The following is a 13,938-nucleotide window of genomic DNA, read 5'->3' as shown; positions in this document are numbered from 1 at the left end:
GTTGAGATTTAGACTCAGGGGATTCCTACTCAAAAGCCCATGAATTTTTCAGTACATTTTGTTGTTCACTGCCAATTCTTAACTCCATGAGAAAAATTCAGGCGCTTATAGGAATGTGTGAATCATAATTAAAAGAACACACACTCAGGGGCAGGAGACTCAGTTTCAAATTCTGCCATTTTGCAATTTTCTGTCAATAGTGTGGTAATAAGAAACAGCAAGTGCTCTTATATCCCGATTTTGTCTTTTATTAACTGTGTAAACTTGGGCAAACTCTTCTCATTTCTAAGTCTCCAACTTTTTATTTGTTCAAAAGAGAGGTTAGCATTAGGACAGCTGTGATGAGTAAGTGTGATAATACATTGCAAGCAACCTAGCACAAACCTTGGCATACAAAAAGTAAAAATAAAAATAAAACACTCAGTAAATGTAGACACCTCATCTATCCAAGAGAATTTTGATAATTTGTGAAGCATTCATTATGCTCTATATGGACCATTAGGTTATTTGATAAATGTATGAGTTTTAACACAAGTGCTACAATGTAACTATAATAAAAGCCCAAGAAATAAATGTTCATACAATGAAGTCTTTTTCTTTTTCATTTTTCTAAGAAACTGGCTCCTCATTTCTATGTTGCAGAAATGAAACAATAATTTATTATTTAAATCACTTCTTGGGGCACACATCTGATCTGGAATTCTGTACCTACTTTTTATTTATTTATTTATTTATTTTGAGATGAAGTCTTGCTCTGTGGCCCAGGCTGGAGTGCAGTGGCTCAATCTCAGCTTGCTGCAACCTCTGCCTCCCAGGTTCAAGCGATTCTTCTGCCTCAGCCTCCTGAGTAGCTGGGACTACAAGCATGCACCACAATGCCTGACTAACTTTTGTATTTTTAGTAGACATGGGGTTTCCCTATGCTGGCCAGGCTGGTTTCAAACTCCTGACCTCAGGTGATCCACCCGCCTCAGCCTCCCAAAGTACTGGGATTACAGGCATGAGCCGCTGCGCCTGGCCGTACCTACATTTTTATTACGTTAACTGGCACATAAGAAATGTACTATTTTGGGGGGTATAGTGTGATATTTTGATACATGTGTACATTGTCTAATGATCAAATCATGGTAATTAGCAAATCCATTGCCTAAAAAATTTATGATTTATTTGTGTTGGAAGCATTCACAATTCTCCCATCTAGACATTTGAAAATATACGATAAAATGTTGTTAACTTTAGTCACCTCACAGTGCTGTAGAACACTATAACTTATTCTTCCTGTTTACGCTGTAATTTTGTACCTGTCAACCAACCTCTCCCTATCTCCTCTCCCTCCTACCCTTTCCAGCCTCTAGTAAATGCAATGCTATACTCCACTTTTATTAGATCAACTTTTTTAGCTTCCATATATGAGGGAAAACATGCAGTATTGATCTTTCTGTGCTTGACTTATTTCACTTAACATAATATCCTTTAGATTCATTCATGTTGCCTTGAATGATTTGATTTAATTTTTTATGGCTAAATGGTGTTCCATTGTATATACATTGTATACTACATATAATATAATGTAGTATATATATGCAATGTGTATATATGTTCATTTTGTGTCTGTATATATATACACACATATATATGTATATATAAATTAGTATTTCATTGTGTATTGTCTTTATTCATTCATCTGTTGAGGACACTTAGATTGATTCCATATCTTGGCTATAGTGAATCGTGCTGCAACAAACATGAGAGTGTAAATATCTCTTCTACATACTGATATCCTTTCCTTTGGATATATACCCAGTAGTAGATTGTTGGATCACATGGTAATTCCATTTTTAGGTTTTTAAGAAACATACACATTGTTTTCCATAGCAAATGTACCAATTTACATTCCCATCAACAGCATATAAGGGTTCCGCTTTATAGGCATCCTTACCAGCATTTGTTATTTTTTGTCTAACTGGAGTGGGAGGAGATCTCAGTGTGGTTTTGATTTGCATTTCCCTGATGATTAGTGATACTGAACTTTTTTTCATATACTATTGGTCATTTGTATGTCTTCTTTTGAAAAATATCTATTTAAATCATTTGCCTTTTTAATTAATAATTGAATGGCTTGGGTTTTTACGCTGTTGAGATATTTTAGTTTCTTGTATAACATTTTAACAACAGTAATTTATAGCTTTCTCAAGTAGCTGGGAGCCCTGGAAAGATGGTAGGGGGAATCTGAAGCCACCTTCTGAGTTAAGCAACTGTCCTCACAGTCCAGGGCACTCAGCCAGAAGCCCTGAGCCAAGCATACAACATTCCATCTGCTGTACTAACCAAAGGTAAATGACCCTCAAACCCCAAGGGAGTGATTCAGCTTCAAGAAGGAGACCTCACCTTTTACAGGACAGTCAGGCTTGAGAGTTGCTTTGCTTAAGTGATTGAAGAAGAAAAAAAAAATCTGAGATCTAGTTAATGAAATGTATTGAGGTCATTTCCACCATTCACTGATGGAGCTCAGAAACAGAAAGTGTCAGGAGGGCTATAATTAGGAGAGAGAGTTAAAAATTTAACAGCATTCCAGATTTCAGTTACACCTGTCATCGTTTTTAACCACCCTTTCTTCCCATTTGCACTTTATTGGGCCTACTGTCTTCCCTTCTCCTTTTCAGGATTTGAGAGAAATAGGCAAAGAAAAATATTAAAGAAAAGAAAGGTGATATTTTGAAAAGATATTTGGGAGAAGCCAGTTTCAGGGATAGGTTCAGTTCTGTGCCTGTCTTTCTTTTGACTATAATTCATGTTAGCCCTCTCTGACTGAGGAGTGTGAAGTCATTTGGCTCCTGCATGTGTGTTCCTCAGTGAACGCACCTAGGGGTGTCCCCTTGTTCCTTGAGAGCACTTGTACAGAGAAAGCAGACTTGATACAACCTTCTAGAAAGTCTAGTATACAATGAGGCACCATAATTATCTTTAGGGATTTCATGTGTAGATTATTTCCCCTACTTTTGTTTTAAATAGACTTTAATTTTTAGAGCAGTTTTAGGTTCACAGCAAAATTGAGTAGAAAGTAGTTTCCATATACCCCTCTCCCTACATGTGCACAGCCTGTTCCACTATCAATAGCCCACAACAGAGTGATACATTTGTTACACCGTATGAACTTACCTTGGTACATCAGAGTCACCCAATCAATGAACTTACACTGGTACATCGAAGTCACACAAAATCCATCGCCCATAAAATAAAACCAAGTATGTTTTATTACTCTATCTCCTCTCAGAGCCATGAATACACTGTATGTCACTGGCTTGGTGAAGGACAGAGAGTACACTATAGTAAACGCTATTTCCAAATATACATGTTTGATAACACTGGAGTTGTCAGATACACATTTCTATGTATACTCTTCTAGAAGAATCAGGCCTACTGTGCCTATTTATAAGTTATTATCTCAAACATTTTCTTTCTTAACCCATGAAAACTGAAGTTAATATATTTTATTTTTTAATATTCCCTAGTGTTAATGATTTGCAAATAATCTAAATTTTTTTTCCATAGGGAAAAGATGGCAGAAAAGCAACATTTGCTTAGTAAAGATAGATTATCAAAAACAGCCTTGCTAAAAGCAGGTTAATGCTTTAAATGATGCAATTGAACAAGACATAATTAGGGCTATTTCCTTCCCCTTGTTTTAGAAACACCATGAGCCATTGGCAGAGGTGAAACGGGGTGATTTTATCACTTTTATGCTGAATTGTTTTTCCCAGTGTAGCTGTTAAGTTGTCCTTCCATAAAATGGTACCATGAAATAGTTCCACTTTGCAAAGCTGTTGTTTCATGACCAAAGAATTGTTTGCAATAATTAAATTATGGTTGCTGAAGTTCTTATTTCTTCTTTGAAGACAGTGTTTGTTTATAGGTTCATAAAGAATGGGAAGAGAAATTTCATTTTAAAATGGGCCTTTAAATAAGATTAAGAGTTGTAAATTTTCATATGCCCAAATGAATGGCTGATAATTGTATTATTCTGGGTTCTCCAGAGAAAAAGAACCAATAGAATATACCTATATATTTCCAGTCTGAGTCCAAAGGCCTGAGAACCAGGCAAGCCAATGACATAAGTTCAGTTCAAGCTCAAGTCCAAATCTGAAGGCGAGAGAAGACCAATGTCCCAGTTTGAAGACTACCAGGCAGAGAGAGCAAATTCTCTCTAACTCAGTCTTTTTGTTCTACATAGGCCTTCAATAGATTAGAGAAGTCCACCACAAAGGGAAGGGCAATCTACTTTACTAGGTCTATCAATTCAAATGTTAATTTCACCTAGAAACACTCTCACAGACGCCCAGAGTAATGTTTAACCAAACATCTTGACATCCTCTGGACCAGTCAAGTTGACACATAAAATTAACATCAGGATAATGATATCTTTTCAATTCTATTCTATTTGGTATACATTTGTGAACACTGCAATACACTGCTAGGTGCTAGAAAGAACACAGAAGACTAACACCTGGTCCTTTTCTTTGAGATGCTAACAAATTAATGTAGGAGACATACACACTTAGTTGTTATGGTATTAGCATAAACAAAGTAAGTATGATCAGAAGAGTGAGTGATTGGTTTGGATTATGGGGACTGGAAAAGGATTACAGAGAATAGAAATTAGAAAAGACATTTGAGCAATGGAACCATGTGGAAATAACATGAACAAAGGCCTGTGGGTGTGAAAAACTCCATGGAATGCCTACGTTTCTGGAATCCAAAGAGCATGGTCAATGTCTTACCCTGAAAATGTCCTCAGTGTCATACTAAGGAATATGTTTACTTCAGAATTTTGGCTACTTTGTAGGATTAATTATGTTCTTATTTTCTTATGTTTGGAACATTGTCATCATGATCACAGTTGCTATTTATGAAGAGAGATGGTCACCTAGCAAAAAGTTGAGTTACCATTCATATGGCTGATTAAAAACAAAGTTTAATGCCTTAACTTCTGGTTTCATCTTTCTGTTCTGCCTATTTTGTACTGTTTCTTCAAGAACTTATTGAGAACGGGATTCAAAGTTTAAACTACTCCTTTATACTTGGTTTTTGGCTTTTTGTTGTTTATAGATGTGAAATCATGCACACATAATTTGCTCTTAATAAAAATAATAGTAATAAGTACAAAGCAGGTAGCCTTTATTCTCTGGACAATGTTTCTCTTTCCTCATAAACTTAAATGGTTTTAAATAATGATCTATGTAATCTTTGAAACATAGACACTTTGGGCACAATGACCAGCTTTGTCTTTCTCTCTAATAAGGAGCCTAATGCAACCTAATGAACTCAGTATACAAAAATAAAGTGCATAGCAAATGGAGAAAAACTATGACTTGAAAATAGCATATCACAAAAAGCATCTTGCTTCCCAATTGGTGATTAATAATAGAAAATGTCATTATAATTAAAAGCAAAACAAATTAGGGCTCTCTGTATTTCAGTGGGCACAGATATTGCAAGCTCACTGTTTCTATCATATTTAAATTCTGCACAGCCTCAGTCTTAGCAACAGTCAGCATTGCAGAATCAGACTTTCTACTCAAAAACCATAAGATTCTCTGTGGTTCCTACTGCTTTTTTTAATGAAACATTTTTGTAACTACCCACCTGCTTTCTTTTTTTGATTTATTTCAATTTAGTAAAAAAGAAGGATAGAGAGGGAGGTACATACCACCAGTTTATAATTAATTCTTAGTAATTTAGTAAACCACAAGTGTTTTATTCTTATAAAGATATATTTCCTCTAATTAATAATGTATGTTTTACAGATCAGTTTGAAAATAATCTCAACTTAATAATTTGAAGACTGTATTTATGAATAGGTGTGAATACTTAGGTTGATATGTATGTAAATTTGGAAAACTTTGATGTTCTTTTCTTCTGGAAAAGCTAAGCACTGTTGGAATATACATTGTGTGAAATAAACCAATAGACATAAGGTTAGTAACTTACTCTGGGCCCATAAACCACAGGCAAACATCTCATCACTTTATCATATACATTAAATGTAACCACCATAAGAGAAGAGATTGGGATCAAGAGGGATGCTTCTCTCTTGTATTGGTGACACATATTGGTCTCTAACAAATAAAAACAGGCATAAAGTGTTTAAAACCATCACAAATCACTGACATATAATGTCTGAGAAACAGTCTGTTCTAGTTTGAATTTTTGTTTTATCATCAACCATTGAAAGGCTGGGTGTACTACGTCATGTCTGTAATCCCAGTACTCTGGGAGGCTGAAACAGGGGGATTGCTTGGGCCCAGGAGTTTGAGACCAGCCTGGGCAAAAAAGCCAGTCCCTGTCTCTACAAAAAAAAAAAAAAGAAAATGTATGCTAACTTATAAAGAACTGTAAAGGGTTTAGAATAGAGAGATACTTTGAATAATTCCTTAAAGCAATAAACAATGGTTGCAGATGAAGTAAATGTGCATAGTGATAAGTTCATTTTCTCCAATGATAATTTTAAAATTATAGAGTACATAAATACCTAAATTTTCTCCTTATACACTCTGGTCCTTTCACATCATTCACTTTTGCTCACATTTAATATGTTTTGCCATATTATTGCTGTATTTTAACATCACCAGAAATTAAAGTTCTGACATTTTGAATAAAGGAAAACATTGAGTACAAATTTTACACTTATAGGAAAGCTCTTCCAAAAAATTATTCGAATGAAAATTTAATTATTATTTGTTGCAAATCAAGTGACTTGACATAAGAGTCATTTGCAAGAAAAAAATCTTTAAGTAACCCACTTTTATTTTTGGTGATGTTGTTTCTAATATTCTCAAACTTAAATAAATTATCAAGGAAAATAAGCCCTGATCTCCAAGAAGATGATTGCAAAAGGTTTTATCACCACATTAACTTTATACTAATATCATAAAAATAGTTCATAAGAAATTTAAATTCGCTCTTCAAAATTTGTTTGTGGTCTGGAATTGTGGTTTAAAGGCTGAAAATTACATTTTCTATATTATTTAAGTACAATGTGGAATTCTAACTTTAAAAATGCAGTCTATTGAAAAGGAAGGAGTTTCACCTTCTTTGACCTGCTTCAGTGAGAGCATCAAGCGTGAACCGACTTTGGGAAAGGCAGTAGTACAGCTATTACTCCTCCTCCGCCTTTCCCTCTCCCTCTCCCTCTTCCTCCCCTTCCTCCTTCTCCTCCTTTCTCCTTCTCCTTTCTTCTTCTTTCTTCTTCTTTTTTTCCTCTTCAGTTTTTCCAGGGGCAACGAAAGGAACAGGCAAAATACAGAAGGTCATGCATAACAAGCAACTGCAAACCATTGTGAGAGGGAATCTTTGGTATCTGAGATGATGGAATTAGATAAAGACAAAAGGATGCAGGGGGCAGTGGGAGAGCTTCTTTCAGTGAGCCAGACCCTCCTATTTATGTCCGAAGCAAATGTTCTTATGAGGATGAGGAGCAAATCAATATTTTTATGTTTAATATTCAGCTCAGGGTCAGCAATAATGATCTTATTTCTAGAGTTTTAGTCACAGCTGTTAGAAATATTTTTCTTACACAAAGCTTTATGGAAGAATATTGTTCATATAGGTTTTATAATTTTGTTGCTACCATATTTAACTAATGGAAATTGTAAAATTTATACAACCAGTTTACTTTCAACTTACTTATTTGCAATAGTTTGTTGTGATTTTCTGGTAAAACAGTAAGCCAATAACAAAATATGCACCATCTAATAGAATTTAAGCCTTGAGAGGTGAATACACTTTGAATCTTTAACTACAAGTTTAGGGAAGTGAAAACAATGACAGTAGTAATTAAAAACCTTATGATGCAAATGAAAACAATTCAAGTGATACGCAGCCTTCGTTTAAAAAAAAATGAATCACTTTTATATTTCATGAAGAAAGGTCCTGGAGCTGGTTTCTCTGAGGAGCAAGTGCCTCGTAGAAAGATGTAGCTGGATAAGTAAGCATATGGCTAGGAAATTTTGAAAATTTCAGCCTAAAACTTACCATTCTCAGGATTTCAAGGATTCATAAAATAAAACGAATGTAGCCAAGTGGAAAAAGGACAAATACATAATTCATGAAGCAGCCCTTTCTGACATACCCTGCTGCTTTTGGCTCCTAAAAATAGATCAGTTAAGAGTAACACGTAATAATTTCCTTTAAAAAAGTGGTGAAGATGTATTTTATTTGAAAGTGTTCTAAATTTTTGCAGTGTAAGCAATGAGGAGTCTTCAGCCTACTTTAGAGAAAGACATGGGGGTGCTATGCAGACATATTTGAAATGCTCTTTTTTTTTTTTCCTGTGGCCTTATTAGCATCTAGCTGGAAGGCATCGCATGTTTCTTTGCTTCACTGTGTTCTATGCAAATTATCAGGGTGGAAAGTGCCTTTACTAATAGTTTTAAAATACACTTTAGAGTGATGCGTTTTCTTGCAGACAGCATATTTCACATGGAATCTTCAACTGGGGGCCAACACATTTACCATCAATTTAAAACCCAAAGAATATTTAGTCTAGTGATACATCAAGTAGCATAAGAAGCCATCTCGGAATAATACAAAATTTAAAAACGTGGCCTGCGTAAGTAAATCCATTATCACTCTTTTCCAAATTTTGGACTTTTATTAATGTGTTAAATTTGTAAAGTATAAACATACATAATTTTTAAATCCACCCAGAACTATTTTAAAAAGCAAAACCATTATGTTTACACTTGCTTACCCCTATTTTCTTTACATCATTTAGATGACTCTTACTGCATGAACTTAAAAATACAATGTGGTATTGGAAATTTTACCATCGTTTTGAAGTTAAGCATAAAATATTCATCCTAATTATATTTGCATGTACAAATAATTGCATCAGTGTAACTGAGTTTTGGATGATTTCTGATTTTGAAAAACATAAAATAAATTTACAATTAGAATTATTACATTTACTTTTCAGTGCTCAGTAAAGTCTTCGATGGTATTAGTGCTATAAAACATTTTACTTTATGCTATAAATTAGCATAATCTTATTAATTTTCATCTGTCTCCTAAGAAATGCCAGATTTACAAAAACATTCAAACCAAAACTCTGTAGCCTGTAGACTTCTAGTAGTCTACCTGTCAGTTCTGATTAATTTGAGTAATCCAGTTATTTCACTGACCTACTTTTTCAATGACTACTAACTTTTCTAAGCAAAAATCAAAGGTTTATTTTTTCTTGATGGTGTTTTTTTTTGCCTAGGATTATTAATAATTCAGTCAACAGATTTGTAAAGCTAACTTTTATTTCTGGAATTTTTTTATATTCATCATAAAATAGTGAATTGTCCATATTTTTCTATCATTGAGACACATTGGTCAGATCTAATATATATTCCATATTATTTCCATTTAATTTATACCTCCAAAAAGAATAAAAAATAAGGATGAAAGTATCAATCAAGATATCTTTAAAGTAATAAAAAAAATCCTGCCCTAGTTTAAGGTATTTTCGGCACTTTTCAAAAAAAGATAATTAAATTAAAATTGGCTCCTATGAATAAAATTTTACATTTTGAGGATAAGGGGCTTGTTTCTAATCCTTTTTGATATTATCTGCTGACTTCACTGAACTTAATTATACAAAGTACATTTAATCCAACTTGTCACATACACACACACATACACACACACACACACACAACTATTTGCACTTGTCTTATTTGAAATGGCAAAGATGTGACACTGGATTGACATGGTTTCCTTAACACTCATGTTGCTAAACTAGAACGTGCTAGGGGCAAATAACTCTTATAACATTGCTCCAAAATATTTATGATATTTTTGGAGTCCTAGTCAGTTAACCGTGCGAAAATTTTTTTTAAAAAGGACTCTCATTTTATAACAGCAACATAAGGATATAATATTAATAGCCCTATTAATGTGCATTGAATGCATGCTGAAATGCTAACTAGCCTATCAAGTCCACCACAGCATCATTGAAATAGTTATGAATTAACTCAGACTTTCAATCTTATATGCTTGTATCTGTATTCTTAATGCTTGCCTTTTAGTAAATTTTATAGGAAATAATATAACCTCCATTTCATACTAATATGGACTCTACTTTCATAGGAGTTATCTACTGTCCTTGATGAATATCCATAATGCACAATGTTAAAATGAGAAAGCTATAATTGGTAAATAGGTCAATAAGTGCACAGTTCAGAAGACAGCCATATCATGCTGTTATTTGTTCTCATCTCTCCCATAATGAGGATGTTCGCATTGCATGTTAAAAGTTGCTTCTGTGAAAAGCAATATTTGAATCATATACAAAGCTGTTGGACCAGGATGACAGGGTTCTTAACAAGAAAGGATAGAGCAAGTACTAGTCAACCCCAATGTGTCTATTGTAATAAATTCAAAAGGAAGAGCTAATCTGAGCAATGGATATGAAATAGGAAGCGTATACATCTGAGAGGAAAATATGTGAGGGATGATCGCAAAATGATTCATGACCTTAAAACTATTGTGGTGCCATGATAGACAGAAATTAACTCTCCATTTCACAGTAAAACCAAATAATTAACTCTCTCCTAATGAATGCCTTTTGGGATCCTTTCTGCAAGATCTCATCTGAAAGTCTTCTGTAAATAGCTGACATATCCAGCAATAGAGGAGCCAGCAAATACTGTGTTTTTAGAGAGAAAAAAAAATTTTTAAAGCAATTGCTAGATATTACAAAACTGATTTACCATCATCTAGTGGGTTCTTAGATTTAATTAAGTTTAATTAGATTTAGTTAGATGAATTAGATGCATCTAGACTCAGTTTACCTGATCTCGACCTAAAAGCAACATTTTGCCACTTCATTTGCATAGGGAAGAAGAAAATCTCATATAAGTCAACATTCAAACTCACCACAATAATGAGCCTCAATATTTGGACCTAAAATGGCTAGCACTTTTACACTTCATAATCACGGAAATGTGTTATGTTAAAGCAGTAGGAAGGAATCCCCTTTTGTGTGGAATTCACCATAGTAAAACCAACAAACAGAAATAGACTATGGATTTGTTTGTTTTATAAAGCAAGTTTTGTTCATTCTGCTGTTAAATACTGAGAGCAGAGCCTTTTTGCTGCTAAAGGAAAAGAATCTAAGCATTATTGTTTACCCTGTAAAAAGTGTTACATGCTGTCAGAAAAGATCAATCCTTTCCTCCAGTATCTTTTTCTTTTCTAAAAGTCTTCCCCTGTACTGCCATGAACTGCTACAATGTTAACAGAATTAGAAGTTTATGTCTGTTCTAGTCTGCAAAATAAAATGCACAAATGCAAACCAAACTTACCTTCCATTAACGTTTTCAATTTTGAATATGTTTTCATTTATTCTAGTCTCTTGAAGTTAAATCATTTCCTTTATATGTAAGAAATTTGCTAATCATTCATGGGTATTGTTTTCTCTAGGTTATTTGGTTTCCTATGTATCAATTAGGACCCAGCCCAATTCCAAGTATATATAGCCAGAAAGATCATACCATCTCTACAATAAAATCCTAGTTAAGTCTTTGATTTTTAAAAATGCATACTTATTTTACACATTTATTTTTTAAAATTAAAAAATCTGCTTCCAAATTATGTATTATCAAAGAGTATACTATATAAAAATCTTAAGTTTAAATTAAACATAACTTTTAAAATTTATTAATTAAAGATAAAGGTGGTCTTTTTCTAATTTATGAAAGAATTCTACATCTAAGACTAGTTATGTTATCTTTCATTCCGATAACAAATGTTTTTCAGAATTACAGAATTTTTTAAATTTTATAAAATAGAATAATGTAGTGTGAAATAAACGTGCCAAATGTGACTTTTTTAACTTCTGCATTGTCTGACAGCCTATAGAGTTACAGGAAATGTTTTATGTCATTATTATAGCTTTGTTCTAATTAAATCCATATAATCTTCACTTTTTGAGTTTAATCAAAGTAATATATGCATTTAATTTATGCCCAAAAAGCCCATAATAAAAAGTAGTTACCCCTACTCTCTGAGTCCCAATCATTCCAATCCCCAGGTACAACCACTTTCTTTGGGATATTTGTTCAACTATACCTCCATGTTTATGAAATATATGATTGTTGCTTTTTGATATATTAATTTTTGACACCATGCATGCACTTCCTATAACTGTAAGATTACATTATGTTCTTATCCGTATTCTATATTGCCATTATTTTTACTATGTAATATTATTCTATTTTATTTTTTAAAAATAGAAACATGGTTTTGCTATGTTGCCCAGGTTGGTCTAGAATTCCTGGGCTCAAGTGATTCCCCTCCCCCTCCCAAAGTGTTGGGATTAAGTTGTAAGCCACTGCACCCAGTGGCTAGTAGAGAATAGTAGTACTAGTATTCTCTACTAGTAGAGAATACTAGTACCATTCTCTTCTAACACCAATAATATACCACAATTCCCTTTTGTGTACTTTTTAGTTTGTTGTATTTAATAATTATCTAATTTTTTCAATTTCATTGTTTTCTCTTGAAGTGTTACTAAGTTGTTCCATATCTTTAATAACAGTTAGTGGACCAGATTTTGTTCGAAAACTGTCATTCAGAAGTGCTTAATGCACCTACTCCAATCTGGACTGAGTACAAATGCTTCTCTCATTGCTTTGAGGATATTAACTTAGCAGCACATTAAGGGATGGTTGGTAGGAGCAATCTCTTTTGGGTACAGATAATAAGGGGTTTATTGTAGAACGTTTTAGAATAAAGAACGTTTTAGAATAATACTAGAGTTGACCAAATATCAGTTTTCATTTTTATCATCACCATGCATCAGTAAATTCTAAACAAAGTCAACTATAAAATATTCTTCACTGCCAGGGCCAATTGCTTCAACCACCGTGTTTCTGCCTATTATATGTTACTTTATTAATTACAGTTCTTTCACACTTTTCTTGAATTTTTACATGTTCTCTTAAATCTCCTTCATCTTCTTTTGCTTTTATTCTTTTTTCTTTTTGTATTTGCTTATTTATGTTGGCGGCATGCTTCAAAAGCCTAGTGATTTGCAGATTCACCTTATAATGAAGTTATTTTAAAAGCTAGAAAATCTGTGTTCCTCAGCTGTGTTTGTTGAGTGGTAGGCTGGTTTTGTGAGGGTGGCTCCTAAATGTCAAGATCTCTGGCTCCATTTTTGGGGACTATTCCTGTGCTCCAAAGATTTGTTCGGTCTTATCTTTTTGGACTACCAGTCTGGGTGCTAATATTCTGGGAGGTGAGCTGGGAAAGGTACTAATGGTCTAATTGTTCTTGAGACTTCCAGAGATACAATGCTTGCTTTTCGTTAATGTTCCTCTCTGCAGTAGTTTATGGATCATCTTGTTCCATTCTGTCCATTTCATCTTCCTAGATCATGGCTTTAAGGTTGGAAATGTTTTCTGATTTATTATATATGCTCTTTCTTTTTTCTCCATTTTAATTATTTTAGGGTTAAACTGACGGTAACATAAATGTAATTTTTCACTTCTAATTCTGAATTGTGAAGTGGTGCTACAACTTAAACTATTACAAGCAGGTTACCCTTAAAACTCTTCCAGTCTTTTGAAAACATATACGTATAAACAAAAGTTATTTATTTAAAATCATATTCAAATCCATTAAAATAAGTTTTAGTAATATAATGGACTCTAATAAAACACTCTCCCCATAAGCCAACTAAAAAAATACAACCAAGTAAATTGTTCTCTCTATGATCAAAATCTAGCACTTATTTTCCAGCCAAATGTTAATTGCTACATGGGCTCTAAGATTTTGTTTGTTTGATTGTTTTTTATTTTGCTGATAAGCTGTATCTTATAGTACTGTTGGCTGTAATTGCTAACCAAAATTACACAGTGTTAAGAAAATAATGAGTCAGAGAAATTCTAT

General features: G+C 33.5%; 2 long non-coding RNA genes across 2 annotated transcripts in view; one reads left to right on the top strand and one right to left on the bottom strand.

The window, feature by feature from the left end:
• LINC02789 (long intergenic non-protein coding RNA 2789) overlaps positions 1-11,488 on the bottom strand; it is a 244,710-nt gene extending 233,222 nt beyond the window's left edge. The window contains exon 1 of the long non-coding RNA NR_147896.1: positions 11,349-11,488. This is a non-coding gene — a long non-coding RNA (long intergenic non-protein coding RNA 2789). The remainder of the gene's footprint in view (positions 1-11,348) is intronic.
• The window catches only part of LOC107985243 (uncharacterized), a 79,017-nt gene that overhangs the window by 18,737 nt on the left and 46,342 nt on the right, over positions 1-13,938 (top strand). The gene's annotated exons all lie outside the window — the stretch shown is intronic.

The sequence above is a fragment of the Homo sapiens genome, chromosome 1, assembly GCF_000001405.40.
Source record: "Homo sapiens chromosome 1, GRCh38.p14 Primary Assembly".
Lineage (NCBI taxonomy): Eukaryota > Metazoa > Chordata > Mammalia > Primates > Hominidae > Homo > Homo sapiens.
The sequence above is the reverse complement of the archived record's forward strand: the minus strand, read 5'-3'. Positions and strand labels throughout refer to the sequence as shown.